The 15,285-nt window shown below is 51.9% G+C and overlaps 1 protein-coding gene across 2 annotated transcripts in view, besides 1 other annotated feature; it reads left to right on the forward strand.

The window, feature by feature from the left end:
• The window catches only part of KLHL29 (kelch like family member 29), a 323,428-nt gene that overhangs the window by 175,823 nt on the left and 132,320 nt on the right, over positions 1-15,285 (forward strand). For both annotated transcript variants that reach the window (NM_052920.2, XM_006711929.4), the window contains one exon: positions 1,151-1,480. In NM_052920.2, the coding sequence (NP_443152.1) occupies positions 1,196-1,480 (285 nt within the window). In that variant the 5' untranslated portion in view covers positions 1,151-1,195. The remainder of the gene's footprint in view (positions 1-1,150; positions 1,481-15,285) is intronic.
• Positions 3,032-3,393: a silencer, noted in NCBI's record as "fragment chr2:23786903-23787264 (GRCh37/hg19 assembly coordinates)". NCBI's record gives its function as "represses an EF-1alpha promoter that drives an FKBP-Casp9 reporter gene in an ReSE screen in phorbol 12-myristate 13-acetate-treated (for megakaryocytic differentiation) K562 erythroleukemia cells {active_cell/tissue: K562(+PMA)}" and the evidence as "EXISTENCE:reporter gene assay evidence [ECO:0000049][PMID:32094911]".

Consider the following 15,285-nt stretch of genomic DNA (forward strand, 5'->3'; position numbering starts at 1 on the left):
GAACCCGGACCTCCGGGGACTCACCCCCAGACTGGAAAACAGTTGGAGAATGGAAAAGGCCAAAGGCAACCAAGCTGTGCCTGAGCCATGCCCAGGGCTGTGGGTGTGATGCAGACCCCTACCCTAACCCACCACCACTTGTGCCCTGGCACTGCCATGCCCTCTCCCCTCTGTCTCTGCCTCTCCATGGCCTCTGAGACCGACAGCTTCCCCTGCGTCTTTACAGCGTTCTTGACCGAGAGTAACACCAGGCCCTGGATGGGCAGGGAACCAGGCAAGTCATGGTAATACTGAGCAAAATGCAATCTTTGGTGATTCAGAAGCCCTTCCAAGTATCATGGTGTGTCCAGGTCTCCATGACAACATGGAAGGGCCTTATGCTCAGAGGCTCAGGAGAGCTGTGTGGGAGATAGTCTGGTTAACAGAGGCCAGGGTACTCCGGGTCTCTGATGCCGCCCGAGATCAAATCATAGGGCTGTGATTATGAAAGGGAACTCAACTCCTGGAGGCTAACACCCTTTGCGACTTGAGTTGTGCATTTAGCTAGGATCTAAAGGCTGGGGATCCTGGACTCTTTATCACTTTCTAGTACTCGAACCTCAAGGGATAACTTATTCTCAGTGAGGTCCCTCGACCCTCAACTGGGAACCATCCATGCCCTGCCGCCTCACAGGCTACTGTAGGAGGAAGAGAGATTTATGTAAAGGGCTTTGTCCACTATAAAGTGAGTCTGCACACGTGGGTGGCCGCATCCTATCACGTGTTGGAGGAAAACACGTCCTGAGGAGTTCACGGCTCTTTTTTCACGGTGGGGTGGGAGGGGATAAAGTCCCATCCATAATTAAAATATGCACATTTGTGTCATTCAGGGCAGTGAGATGTGGCAGAACAAACAGTATCACTTTTAACTGTGACTGGGTTCAAATCCTGCCTACTTACTTTGGCCACGTGATCCTGGGCAAATTGTGTATTCCTTGTCTGTGAAGTGGGGCTAATTAATGATCCATGCTTTGTGGGCTAGCGTGACTCTGAAATGAGCTAATGTTTGAAGGCCTGTTATTGAACCCAGAGAAGGGGCTTCATGGATGCTGTCAGTTGTCGCTGCCTGCTCCAGTCCTAAATCACCCTTCTCTCCACCCTGTCACCACAGGTCCGGGCTCTGTTTCCCTGTGAGAAGCCGCCTCGGCCCACCGAGATGTCCCGGCACCATAGCCGCTTCGAAAGAGATTACCGGGTGGGCTGGGACCGCCGCGAATGGAGCGTCAACGGGACGCATGGGACCACCAGCATCTGCAGTGTCACCTCGGGGGCCGGTGGCGGCACAGCCAGCAGCCTCAGCGTCCGGCCCGGCCTCCTGCCGCTGCCCGTGGTGCCCTCCCGGCTGCCCACCCCGGCTACAGCTCCTGCTCCCTGCACCACCGGCAGCAGCGAGGCCATCACCAGCCTCGTGGCCAGCTCTGCGTCTGCGGTCACCACCAAGGTAAGATGTGGTGTCATCTCTGAGCAGGAGCCGGACAGAGGGGCCCTGCCTCCCTGCAGGCTCAGGCCAGCCCCACAGGCTCCTGTGGGGCAGCCTGTGCTCCACGCCCCGAGTCCTCCAGAGTCTTGTCCTTCCAGGACCTGGGCCTGGAAACTGTTTGCGAGCATTCATGCGGGTTTTATTATCCATGAAGTCTTTCTCTGTGACTAACTTGTAGGAAGACAAGCAGGTGCTGAGGCCACTCATTGTCCTATGCCATGTTGATTAGATGCTATTAATGAGTGAAGTAACAGTGGACCTCCAAGATGGCAATATGGGGTTCCTAAATAGATAAATTGAGACCATGCAAGCATCCCTGGGGGTGCCAGTAACTTGGGTGTGCAAGAAGATACTGACAAGCAGTAACAGTCATAAAGGGTGATAAACCCACACTTTATTAACCACTGGGCCTCGTGTTCTCATATCCGTTGTCTCTTCTGAGCCTTGCCACAGCACGGTGAGGTCAGTACTTTTATCATCCCTGCCTTACAGTTGAGGACACTGAGGCACAGCAAGGGCTCAGTAGGCCTTCTAAGGGCTGGTCCAAGGCTGTGGGACCTTTCTGCAGAGGACCCAGGACTTGTCCCCACAGCTGGCTTCAGGGATGTCAGCGCCAGGTCATTCCCGTTTCTTTCAGAAGAGGTGGCTCCAGCCTTGGGAATGGCAACAGAGGCCAACCTGTGTTGCTGAATGGAATGTGGAAAACAGTGTTGCCAAGGCTCTTGCTTGGCCTTGGGCTGAGCTCGTCCTCCATCGTGCTGGCTGCTCGGAGCCCCTCAGGCAGCCTGAGTCCTGGAGGGCCGGGCCCCTGGCCATGGCTGTGGTAGGAAGGCCATCGGTCCCCATCCTGCTTCCTCACCGAGCAGGGGCTGTGCAGGCTGCCTTTGCCTCTGCTGGCCATTCGGAGCTGCCTCCCAGGAGCCCCCTTGGGGCAGTGTCCGTGTACATGCGTGTATGTGCCTGCATGCGTGTGTGTGTGCATGAGTGTATGTGTGTGCACATGTGTGTGTGTCTAGGCTTTTCTTTTCCTGCTTTCAGAAAAGTTGCCAGAGAAGTTAAAGGCGGGGAGCCCCAGCCCGGCCATTGTGAGGTGGCTGTGGTGCTGGAAAGCCGCGCTCCAGGTGTGCTGCGCCTTTGTCTCCTGGTTTTCAAAACTCCCTTTCAGCCCTGCTTCCCATTAATAACTGTGAGTGTTGCCGGCCACAGAGCCTGGCAGAGGCTGAGACAATGGAGCTATTGGAGGCTGGCTCGGAGCGCACTGACATCTTGCTGCAGTGCCTTATTGATTTTATTTTCCTGTTATGAAAACACCACCCCACTGAGGCGGGGAGGGAAAGAATGTTGGACAGGGGAGAGGAGATGGAGGATTATTTGGGCACGCTGCCCCCAGGCCAGCCAAACACATTCCTCCCCTGGGCGCCAGCCCGAGCGCTGGTCTGACTCAGTGACCTCTGCCCAGTAGGGCCAGCCGCTGGACCTGCTGGCCACATCTGGCAGGCGCTCTGCAGGGCCAGCTGTTGGCCATATGGAGAATGGCAGCCGCTGGAACCGACTGCTCGGGGCTCCAGGTGGGAGAGAGAGGCTGGGCCCGGAGGCCGTCTTGAAAGTGTCTGTCCTTTTAAGGATACATGCCTTTGTAGGGATGGTGTTGGGCTGCTCTGGGGGATGAAGTGGAGGGGCTCGGTGCTGGGGCTCCCCCACAGGGCTGTGCTGCCTGCAGAGCTCCCGCTTTGCTCCAGAGTGGCTTGATATTCACCATCCTTGACTGGCCTGATCCCAAACCACAGCCACATGAGAGGAAGGGAACCCAGTCTCAGACAGAAAACAACAGCTGGGGCAAGGACTGGGCAGGGTGGCCAGGAGGGGGAGAGGGGGCGAAAGTTCATTCCTGTGAGGACAGCCCGCTCCTTGGCATGTCACAACAGAGGAACTGAATTCTGCCTCCAGCCCGGCCTGTTTCCTGCAGGGGCTTGTTTGATTCCCCGGATTAAGCCCTGGTCCCTTGGTGCCCAGGAGCACTGGGTGGGGGGAAGGGAGGACAGCAGTGCTGGCTTCCCGAGCACCCCTGGCAGATTTGGGCCACAGTGCCTTCCCGCCGTTCTAGCCTGGCTCCTGCCCACCCAGAGGCCTGTCCCCTAGCCTATGTGTCTGACCCCGTGCCAAGACCACATCAACTGATGGGCAGGCCCGGGCCCAGGTATTTGCGGTTTCCCCGGTCAACAATGTGGGTCTTTACTGAGCAGGCAAGAGCTGGCTGGCTCTTGCCCTCGGGGAGCTCACGGCTCCTTGTGTATAACAAATCTGTGGCCTGGACAGTGTGACCAGATGACCCAAGAATGTCTCTCCCCCTGAAGTTATTGGCAGGGGAGGCCTAGTGCAGTGGCTACAGCCAGACTTTGGAGACAGACTGCCTGGATTTGAATTCCCTTCTACCGCTTGCTATCTGAGTGACCCTGGACAGGTTACCTAACCTCTCTGGGCGTCACTTCTGTAAAATGGGAAGAGGTCGTTGTACTTGCGAGCAGAGTTGTTGTGAGGACTGTGTGGGTTAAAACCTGTGTGAAGTGCTCAGAACAAGACAGAACCTGGCATGTGGTATTTCGAGTCTCATATTGGTGCTGACCTCCTCCTATCACCGCTGTCACTGTCATCCAGGTGAGGCCTATGGGACAAGGCTCTACCCTCTTAGGGAAAGGTGTTCATGTCCTTTTTTTTTCTTCTTCAGTAGAGATGGGGTTTCACCATGTTGGCCAGGCTGGTCTTGAACTCCTGACCTCAAGTGATCCACCCACCTTGGCATCCCAAAGTGCTGGGATTACAGACGTGAATCGCCGTGCCCAGCCTGAAAGGTGTTCCTTTCTAACCTCACCAAGAGGAAAAGGCAGGTCTTCAGATAAGACACAGCAGCCAGGCCCCAAGAAAGCAAGGAAAGGAAAGAGCATCTCAAACCTACCCCTTGGCTGGGACTCCAGATGCTCCGTAGGCAAGAGGGAGCTGGGGGGAAGAGGCCGTCTAGCGGGCTCCAGACCGAGACTGGTAACAGCCAGGTGACCAAGGGAAGGGAGTTTAAAGCTTTTTTCAGCTGTGGCGCCCTTTCCTCTAGGGAAAGCCCATTGTGGAAACAGCTGAAACTGCACTCCAGTGGATGGTGGGGTGGGTGGGCGAGGTTGGCCGGGTAGAAGCCAGGAGCAGAGCTGTGTCCGAGCTCACCAGAGTGTGGGGACAGCTGCTGGAATGTATCCACCGGGCTTCCTGGGTGAAGGGTCTAGAGCCACATGTGGACCAGAGCCACCCTCGGAAACTCAGCAACTGTCCCTGAGGAAAGTGACTGGGGGACTAGTGTCAGTACTGTGAGGCCTTAGTGTCCCCTCTTGGCTAGGCAGTGCGCAGGGTGAACATCACGTGCCCTGGGGGCTGGGGCATCCCATGCCATCACCCTCCCCACCCAGCCCTGTGGGCCTGGTCACCTTCCCAGGCAGGGGCCGGCTTCTGCCAGGCTCTTTGGGTGAGGAGGCTGGCTGTGCTCCCAGCAGCTGGCCGGTGAGGTGATGACAATTCTTTCTGTCACTGCTGCCTTCAGGCCTGAGTTGGTTTTTCTACTTCTTCATTTGTCTGTGGCCTAAAGATTCCTCACGTGTCTTGAGGAAAGGCCAGTTGGACAAGCAGACTCCTGGGCTGCTGAAGTACAGGGAGGGTCTGGTGGGCTCCCCCAGCCCCGCAACACACACTCATGGCTCAGACCAATCAGCAGCCTCCCCAGGACACAAGTTCCAAGAGCCTAACAGGAGCAGAGTGACCACGTCCTCCAGCCCCTCATTCTACAGGTCACAGTAGTGAGGCCCAAAGAAAATGTGGCCTGCCAAGGTCACCCAGTGAGTTAGAATCAGAACCAGCCTGGGCCAGCTCCTCTTCCCACTCCAGGCTGCCTGGTAGAGCATTCACCATGGTAACCATGATTGCAGCATTGTTATGGTAACTTTTCCATCTGCTCATCCACCCAGCTGATAGCAAGCAAGAGATTTCAGGCCAGAAAGTGGGCACATTTACCTCTGTGGTATAGGTGAGAAAATTTAAGCCAAAGGTTATGTCAACTCAGCATTTCACCACTGCTAAGAGCTTCAAGCTTTTGAGTCTGACAGCACTGGGATTGAATCCTAGCTCCGCCACTTAGAAGCTGAGTATGTCTCTGAACCTCAGTTTCTTTGTCTCTAAGAATTGGGAATAATCATAGAATCCTCCTCATGGGGATGATGTGAGAACTGGTTAAATTAATATGCATAGAAAAGCTTAAAACACTACCTGCCATTTGGTAAGCACTCGATAAAAGTTAATTTTAGAAAGATAAACCATTGACTGGGTCTACCCAGTTATTCATACATTTGCGGGGAAACCTGTCCCCCCCTGGTGGTTGGTGCTGGAGGCTGAAGAAAGGTGCATTGGCCTGTCCCCATCCCCTGTCTGATGTGGCATGAGGTCATGCTAAGGAACTGGGATGGCATCCCATCCCTGGCCCACCACTGTGTGTCTGGGCTGTAAATGGTCAGGACCGCAGGGGCAGGGTGCTCCTGAGAAGCAGAACTGCGACTCCACTGCCAGGCCTGTTTGTGGGCCTGAAGGGAAGCCCCAGTGCCCCACAGTTGCTGCTGCATGAAATTTAAATTATTCTCAGCAAACCTGCTTGACAGATGAAACAGAAAAGGGACGGCTTCATAAAATGCAATTTTGTTCCTGAAAGAATGGACTCTGCAGAATCCTCGCTGATGTCTGTGAAATGTACTGGGAGCTTTTTTTCCTAGTGGTCAGGAGCACTCATGCTGAAACATTCCCATCGTCCCTCAGAGCTAAGCCCTTGAAAATAAATCTAGCTGGGAAGCAGAGCGACTTCGCCTGTGTCGGAGGCCCGAGAAGAACCAAAAGGGGCTATGAAATCTGCAGGCTTCATCGTCAACACTCAAAACACCCGGGTTTTGACATTTATGAGCATTTAGGGCTATCGGGGTGGATATGTGTCATCATAGAGACAACGCTGGAGATGATATCTTCCCCATGCGCTCCAGCTTCTCTGGAGGAATGCTCCCCTTGGGGGAGATGATCTGGGATTTCCGTGGGGATCATGTGAGTGACCGCAGGGCCAATGTGGCAGCCCCTCCTGTTGTGTGCTTCTGGGGCCCATGAATGGAGAGAGGATGCTTTTGCACAGAACTCTCATTCCTCTTGTATTCACATTGAAAATCGAAGGCTGCCTTGCCGAGTGGGCTCAGTTGGGAGAATCATTCAAGCCCCTTTCACCGTGAATTTCCAGACTGCAAGTGATTTTATCCAGAAGACTGTTGCTTTCTCCATGAACAAGAACTGTGATTTGCCTTGTGATAAATTATCAGGGAACAATAACACATTGTGAGATAACACAACCTGTGCATGTTAGTACTGAGCTAATGGGTTTTGCCTGTACCTTAAGTCGCAATTACAGTTTGATTGTGTATTCATTGACTTACAACCCACCTGTCAGTCACAAAGTGTGTACAAAATTGAAAAATGTCATGATTTTCAAAGCACCCATTTCAGAGCCTGCAGTTTGGGCTGAGTGGCCCGAACTTAAATTTCTGATTAAGGAGGCAAAAAGAGGGAAGAAGATGTATTTTGCCACACTTGTAAGAGACGAGCCTTAGTCTGGGCAAAAAAAAAGTCCATACACGGATTCCAAAATAAAGATATCAGAAGACTTCATTGACTGGAGCCAGTTGTGTATGTAAGTTAGCTTTTGCTGCTTGATAATACCCCCAAAACCTGGGGTTTTAAAGCCATAACGGTTCTGTGGTTTGACTGGTCAGTACTGGTCTGGGCTGGCTCAGCTGATCTCTGCTAGGCTGTCTCATTTATCTGTGGTCTGCTGTAGGTTGGCTAGTGGCTGGATGATCAGGGTTAGTCTCACACACCTGTGGTTGGCCAACTGTTGGCCAAGGTGCCTCAGTCCTTTGTGGCCTGTCATCCTCCATCCAGCTAGCTCAGGCTTATTCACCTGGTGGTCTCAGGGTACCAAGAGCAGCAAGAGAGCAAGGTCCATGCACAGATGCTTTTCTAACCTCTTCCTGAGGCATGTTTGCTAAAATCCCACTGGCCAAAGCAGGAGGCATGGCCAAGCCAGATTCAAGGAGTGGGCAAAGAGACCCCACCTCTTGATGGGAGATACTGCAACACCACATTGCAAAGGGACAGGCATCTAAGGTTGGAAAGAATTGTGATCATTTTTGCAATCTACCCATGGAGTGTTCCCAGCATGTTTGTTTAGGCATAGTCACTCACCCTTCAGTTCTGGCCAAGGCTGGCATGCCTCAGGCAGAAAGGATTACTCTCTCATATGGCCTGGTATAGATGTGGGACACTCAGGACCCACGTACATCTATCTACTCAGAGAACTGGCTAATGAGGTTTAAAAGAAGACACCCAGCAAGGATTGTGCTGCTAGGGAACAGACTGTCCAGTTGGCTCTCAGGGGATCTCGCAGGTACACTGACCTTGGCTTCTAAGTTCAGAAGCTCCAATGCTTGATCCTGTCACCACTCCAGGGTTAGTGGGACTGGAACACTGCTGTCCCCAGGACATGCAGAAGGACATATGCTAACCTACTGATTTGGAATTTAAAAATCACCCCAAGGAGGCCACCTTCGGGGACTTTGACCAGAGGCTTTCTCCCTGTGAAAATCCACTTGGGAAAACAAATTCTGATGGGGAGACTTCCTAATGAGTCTGAAATCAGGAAAGGGAGCCTGTTACATGATGCAGTATTCGGTAACCACAGATTCGGACAGCCTAGTGCCTCTTTCTCCCTAATAGGATAAATCCTGTGCAGTTCCCCAAAAGCCCTCAGAAGGGCCTCTTCTTAAATTAAGTTAGGTTTTCTGCAAAGAGCATCACTCAAGATGAACATAAATCTACTTCTTACTCAGTTCTAATGGTTTTCCCTGTTTCGTTTAATTACTCATGTTGCAATTAAACAATTTTTTTTTCCCTTGAGAAAGGACAGTATTTTAGCTACATTATGGGTTAAATAGGCTTTGGAGAACTAGACTGGGAGTCTCATCACCATTTATAACATTTTTTTTATAGGGAAAGTATGTTCCAAAATCTAAACAGCCAAATTACAAATGAACTTTCAGAACCCAACCCATTTGTTAACTAGGAACCGTCTGTAATGCTAAAAATAACTTGAAGAAATAAACATAAAAAGGAGAGCTTAATGCATCTCAGGATCATTTATCTACCATCAGCCCCTACACAGTTAGCTTGATTTCATTGAGGGAATGTCCTCAATGAAACCAGACTGACCCTATCCTTGTTCTTCTTACTTTCATGGTACGGCCAGCCAGACTGGCCTAAGCCTTCGAAAAGCACAATGCCATGGGGAAGAGGCATCGTGGAAGTCTCTGCAGAGAGGAGCTGATGTAACTTAATGGATTACCAGTCAGTTTCAACACTCCATTTGCTGCCCTAAAAGGAAGGTTTAGGAGAATTCCGTGTACTGCTCCGGCTGCTGTCTCAACTAGTCGTGGCATATTAATTTTCATTGTGAATCTGCCTCTCTAGAACCCGTAGGCAAGAAACCTCATTTTCCTCTGGTAAATAAAGAGCCCTGAGAACTGAGCAGAGCGAGTGGGCCAGGCATCTGTATGCACTCAGAGACTGCTGTCACATGCCTTTCCTATTGATGGCAGCAAAAATCTGCATGCCTAGCTTCCCCTCCTCTGCTTTCTGGGAAAGGTGGGTGAATACTTTGTACCCTTCTGGCACTGTGAAAAGGAGTCCCGGGAGCTGGGGAATGGCGCGAGGTGCACGTCTCAATAGCAGAAGGCCAGTTGTCTGCACTTCTGTCCCTTGACTTAAATTGTTGGTGGCTGTTCGTTGCAGTCCCTTAAGAAAACACTCTTCAGCCACCCACGGGGTCACCCTTGCTAGACCTGCTCCCCAAGGCTCCAGTTAAGTTTGTGGTTCTCTGTCCCCTACTCCTGCCTTCCTTTGCCCTTAGAGGGCCACACAGTTTCCCCTTGGCCCCCCGACCCCAGGTTGCCAGCAGGTAGGGCTCTTGCCCGGCCCAGTTGGAGCTGTGGATGGATAAAGGAAGTCACTCACATTCCATGTTCTTAATTTTTTTCACACCTGAAGGGGTGGAGACTCAAAACCCACCTGGGCTCCCCTTGTCTAAGACAGTCGGCTAGGGTAGGGAATGGGGGAATCCTGCTGGGGTGTCCCAATTGCTCATGCTTTCAGATTTGATTGCTTTATTTTAAAAACATGGATTTGAATGACCGAGAGTCACCTGGGGCAGAAAGGACAAACCCATGAGTCCAGCTTCATGGATGGCCAGATCCCTCTGGAGCATCCCAAGCTGGTTCTCTTCCCACTGGCTGTGAGATCAGGGCCGCCCAGTGTGATGCTTCTCTCCTTTGTCCAGAGTGGATCTGCCCAGCTCTTCCAGCATTCGGGCCAGCCCTGCGCCATGGCTCTGGTGTCTCTGTGATTATCTTTGCAGTTCTAGAACAGCGCCTGCCTTGAGGTTGCCCTCAGGAGGCTTCTCTGGCAGGACAAGGGGACTCAGCATAGGACAGCCTCTTTACAGATGAAAACACACCCAGTTGAGGGCCAGACTGATGGCGAACATGACCCAGATTCTTCACCTACTACTTAAAGTATCCCTACTTCAGGTTAGAAGTGGCCCTCAGACTGGAGGATGGCGGGGAATGGAGGTAGGAATGGGGGCGTGGGCTGAGCCTGCCTGGTGAGTTGATTGTGCCAGCTGCAGGCAGAGCTGGAGAATGAGCCAGGCCTGACAAAGTGACCTCGTGGTCTGTAGTGGGCATTGCTGCCCATTTGCCCAACGTTCATTTTCTCTCCTTCTCCCTTCCCAGCAGAACCCCCATTCTGTTCCAGGTATCCACCACCTCGCAGGCTCAGAGAAAAGTGAACCCCAGCCCCTGCCGAGAATATGATTCTGGCCAGGCATGGTGATCGTGCTCCCCTCCCAGTCATTAGTTTAGGAAAGGGTCATGTGAGGCAGTTCTGGAATAGAATATGAGGGTAATCCTGCCTGGGGCTTCTGGAAAAGGTTTCCTTGCTTTTAAGGAAGAGTCACAAGAAAAAAAGTCATCCTTCTCCCTCCAGACATTGTCGTGACTGGATATGTTGCCTTGAACTGCTATAACCTTCCTACTACAAGCCTGAGGATGAAGCCAGCACATGAGCAGTGGAGAAAACAAGAGAGTTCCAGATATACTGAACCAGAGCCTTGGTACTGCTTTGCTCTAGGCTTCTTGTGTGAGCCAATACATTTTCTAGTTGTGTGAAAAAGAAATAAAAAACAACCGCCTCCATTGCACAGACGGCTCCCAAGCAACAGCCGTGGGTGCCTCCTCTCTCTCCTAGACCTCACCAGGCATGTCAGTTTGCTAAAAGCAGCTGCAGTGACCTTCGTGAGTACCCTGTCCTATTATTCATTCATCCCGGCACTCGCTGCTGCATACAGGGATCCTGCTATCTGTTGCTTCTCTGAATGTCAACACCAGGACACAGCTTAGTACCACCACACTCCTGTGTGTCAGCGGGTCTGTGTTTCTGTCTGAGGGAAATCCACTAACACACTGGTACGTGAGCCAGGAGGTCACTGGAGAGCGTCACCCCACCACCCACTTTAGCCACGCTGAAATTCCCAAACAGGAAGATCTCTCATGCCCTAGGGCCTTTGCACCTGCCACTCCGTCTTCCTAGCATTGTCATTTCCTCTCTTTCCTGCCCACAAAAACTCCTGTTCATCCTACAACTGAGAGCCTAAAGGTTACCACCCCCTGTGATGGGAAAACATTTTTTGCTATTGTTTCTCTTGTTCCTATAATAATTTTTGCTTACGTTCCTATTATAATACATGAATATTATGTGAAACTTACCCATTTATTTATTTGTCTCCTTATGAGGCAGCGAACTCTGTAAAAGTCAGCTGCCCGTGATGCCCAGTCTATAGAGGCTCTCAATATGTGTTTGAGGACAGAATGAATGGATTAATATATATGAATATTTATTAATTTATTTAGCCACTATTGTTGGGTTAGGGAAGATGAATCCTTTGACATCATCTCAACTTACCTACTACCTGAGAGAAGATAGTGGAGCAGCCTCCAAAAACAGTGATTTCTTTTTTTTTTTTTTTTTTGAGACGGAGTCTCGCTCTGTCACCCAGGCTGGAGTGCAGTGGCACGATCTCAGCTCACTGCAAGCTCTGCTTCCCGGGTTCACACCATTCTTCTGCCTCAGCCTCCTGAGTAGCTGGGACTACAGGCACCCGCCTCCGCGCCTGGCTAATTTTTTATATTTTTAGTAGAGACGGGGTTTCACCATGGTCTCGATCTCCTGACCTCGTGATCCGCCCGCCTCGGCCTCCCAAAGTGCTGGGATTACAGGCGTGAGCCACCGCGCCCGGCCCAAAAACAGTAATTTCTGTGGGTGCCGTGATGAGGATGATGAAGACGTAACCCCGTGGTGAGCTAGCATGAAGCCTCACGGGTTCGTAGTTGGGCCTGAGCCCGGATGATGAAGCTGTGTCGGGGGCGCAGATTTTACATCATTGGAGCTTTTGCTGCAGTTACTGTGCCCTTCCCATCTCTCCTGGAGCATTTGCAGTCACAGTATCACAGCCTTTTCCTTCAAATATTTGCATCTTCTCAAGATTTTACTCTGACTTGCCTGTAATTCTCTGCAGCTTTTTGCATTTATTTATTTTATTTAAGGCACTCATCTAGTAATTACTTTGTTGCAGGCACTGTTCTAAGTACTTTACCAATGTGAACTTTTTAAATCCTCATTATAACTCTCCGAGTAATTATTATTAGCACCACTTCAGAGATGAGAAAGACTAAGGAACTTGCCCCAGATCACTCAGCAGAGTGGGATTCATCACCTAGAGCTCTGGGTAGGCCCAGTCCAGGACAACCCTGGTGAAATTGGTTGGATGAGCAGCTGGCTGCGTACAGGTTCGAGGCATATCCTTCCCTAGTGCTGGCGACACGACCGGAAGGTGCAGCCACAGACTCCCCACAGAACAGTTTTGCTCATCAGGGTTTGAAACAACCAACAAATGTCAGGATCAAAAGGTACAAGGATCGCATGGTCCAGCCCCAGACCTCATAAACAGCCAGCTGCAGTCCTCTTCATTTTTTGTCTGATCAGGCGACCGTTTTTCCTTAACAGCCAGGTGGGGTGGTACAGATAGCACTCCGGTGCATGATGCTTGGGGACCGTTGGGCCTTAAAGCCCCGGCCTCTCTTTCTTTCTGAGGGTTTCTTGTTTTGCCCCCAAGACATAGTGCATGGCCAGTGTTTGCACTCCAGCCCCCGCTTTCAGAGGTGTTGGCCCAGTTCCTTCGCAGAAGGGCAGTCACGGCCATCAGGACCATCTGCAGGTGTTGCTGGGCAGGCCTTGAATATATCCAAGCTCAGGGAAGCAGCTCCCTCTTGCTGGTCCCTCGGTCGTTCTTGGTGGATTTGAACCTGGGCTGGGAAGTGGGGGTGCAGCAGAATCATTGGCAGGATGTTTGTGTATGTTGGGGGCAGAGCAGCCACGATTTGCCACTGTCTTCCCTGTGAGCTCAGCGCCACTTTGGAGGAGGAGAGGGAAGAAGGAAAAGGTCACTGTGGTTATGGTTTTCATCTCAAGCCCTGTTCCCATGAGATCTTTCCTGGGATGGAGAAGGAGAGACCCTATTTGAGGGGGCTGCTAGGAGTGATGAAAAGCACCCTAGGCTGGAGTCAGGAGGTGGCGGTCAGGACCCATGTTCGTACTTGACCGGCTGAATGACTTTAAGGTGGAACGCCGAAGCTCTCTGAGACTGTTTCCTTATCTACAAGCTGTGCACAAGAATGTCCACCTCACCGGGCTGTTGTGGGGTCTAAATGAAACAGCTGGGTGAACGCGCTTTATTAAAATAAATGCCCTGGTTCGTGGAGACAAAAGGTAGGTTAGAGGTTACCAGTGGCTGGCGTGGAGGGAAGGGACAGGGAGGTTTTGCTTAATGGGTAGAGTTTCTGTTTGGGATGATACAAAAGCTTTGGAAATAGTGGTGACAGTCACATGGCACTGTGACTGCAGTGAATGCCACTAAACTGTACGCTTGAAAATGGGGAAAATGGCAAATTTTATGTTAGCATATTTTACCACAGTGGAAAAGAAAGAAAACTCAAAGAATAATGAATGAATGAATACCCACCATGGGAAGAGAGAAGCAATGTCTGAGCATAAATTCAGGGACAGCTGACCCACCACGCCATTTCCTTGATGAAGAGAAATGGGGGTGTCGGTCACAGGGAGCAGAACAGAAGCCCATCAGATGATGGGTCTTCATGCAGACCAGTGTGTGCTGGGCCGGTTACAAGGAAGGACTCCTGAGGAATGGGTGGGAGGGTGGCCCAGCCCCCAGGGAAGGTTCCTGGGAAAATGTGGAGTCAGCACGGCTGAGGACCCCCATCAGGACTCACCAGGTAACCTGATCTGGGTAGACAGCCTCTCCCCTCTCCCATTTGCTCCTCCCCCAACAGCAGCAGCTCTGCAGGCTCGGAGCTGCCTGGCCGGCCGCAAGTTTACTGCCAAGCACAGTGGGCGGGTCAGGCCCTTAAGAAAGAGGGTTGTGGTGGACACCAGAGCCGTGGAGGAGCGTTTTTGTGGTCCATTTCTCTAGCACCCCAGAGAGCGGAGCCGAAGGTGAGGCCTTAGCTATCCATATTCAGAGGCAGGTTATATGTCTCACCAGCATCAAGCCCACCAGAGCCCAGCTCTGGGCTAGAAATATGCGCCTGGCACAAGTGTACACTTTAACCCTGTGCAGTCAGCAACCATTCTAAGAAGCAAGTCTGGACTGCCAGCCAGCCAGGACCTAGGATGTGTCCTTGGGGTTGCTGCCAGCATCATCATTGTCATTGTCACCATCACTGACATTTATTGAGTGCTCACTGGGAACCAGCCACGGCTCCAAGTGTTTTTGCCTGTGAACCCTCCCCAGTCTCACAATTGCATGAGGTTGGGGCCGTAACTATCCTCATTAAATAACCTTGGGAGGTGGTATCATGCCCAGGGTCACAGAACCCCAGAACTGGGTTCACGGCCTTTTTATGATGCTGCTGGCAATGTGGAGACACAGGCCTGCCTCAGGGCAGAAACAGCCCCTGCTTTGAAGGTGAGTTTGATCCTGAGAAGAAAGTGATAGAGGAGGAGAGAGAGAGGGGAAAAGATGCAGGCCCCAGCAGCTCACCCACCGGAGCTCCAGAACCTGCCCACTCCACCCGGCGCAGGAACCTCCACCCAGCCAGGAGCACAGAGCCTGGCAGATAGACTCCCTGGTGGATGCCAGAGCAATGGGGAGCACGTTTGTGGTCAATTCCTCTAGCACCCGCAAGAGCTGGGCTGAAAGTGAGGCCTCAGCTATACTGCGTCACCATCGCCTCTTCCATTAGAAATATGCTGAGGGGGGCCGCGCCCAGTGGCTCACGCCTGGAGTCCCAACACCTTGGGAGGCCGAGGCGGGTGGATCACCTGAGGTCAGGAGTTTGAGACCAGCCTGACCAACATAGTGAAACGCCGTCTCTAGTAAAAATGTGAAAATTAGCTGGGCGTGGTGGCTGGCACCTGTAATCTCAGCTGCTTGGGAGGCTGAAGCAGGAGAATCGCTTGAACCCAGGAGGCAGAGGTTGCAGTGAGCCAAGATAGCACCATTGCACTCCAGCCTGGGCAAC

Source organism: Homo sapiens, chromosome 2 (genome assembly GCF_000001405.40).
Source record: "Homo sapiens chromosome 2, GRCh38.p14 Primary Assembly".
In the NCBI taxonomy this organism is placed as follows: domain Eukaryota; kingdom Metazoa; phylum Chordata; class Mammalia; order Primates; family Hominidae; genus Homo; species Homo sapiens.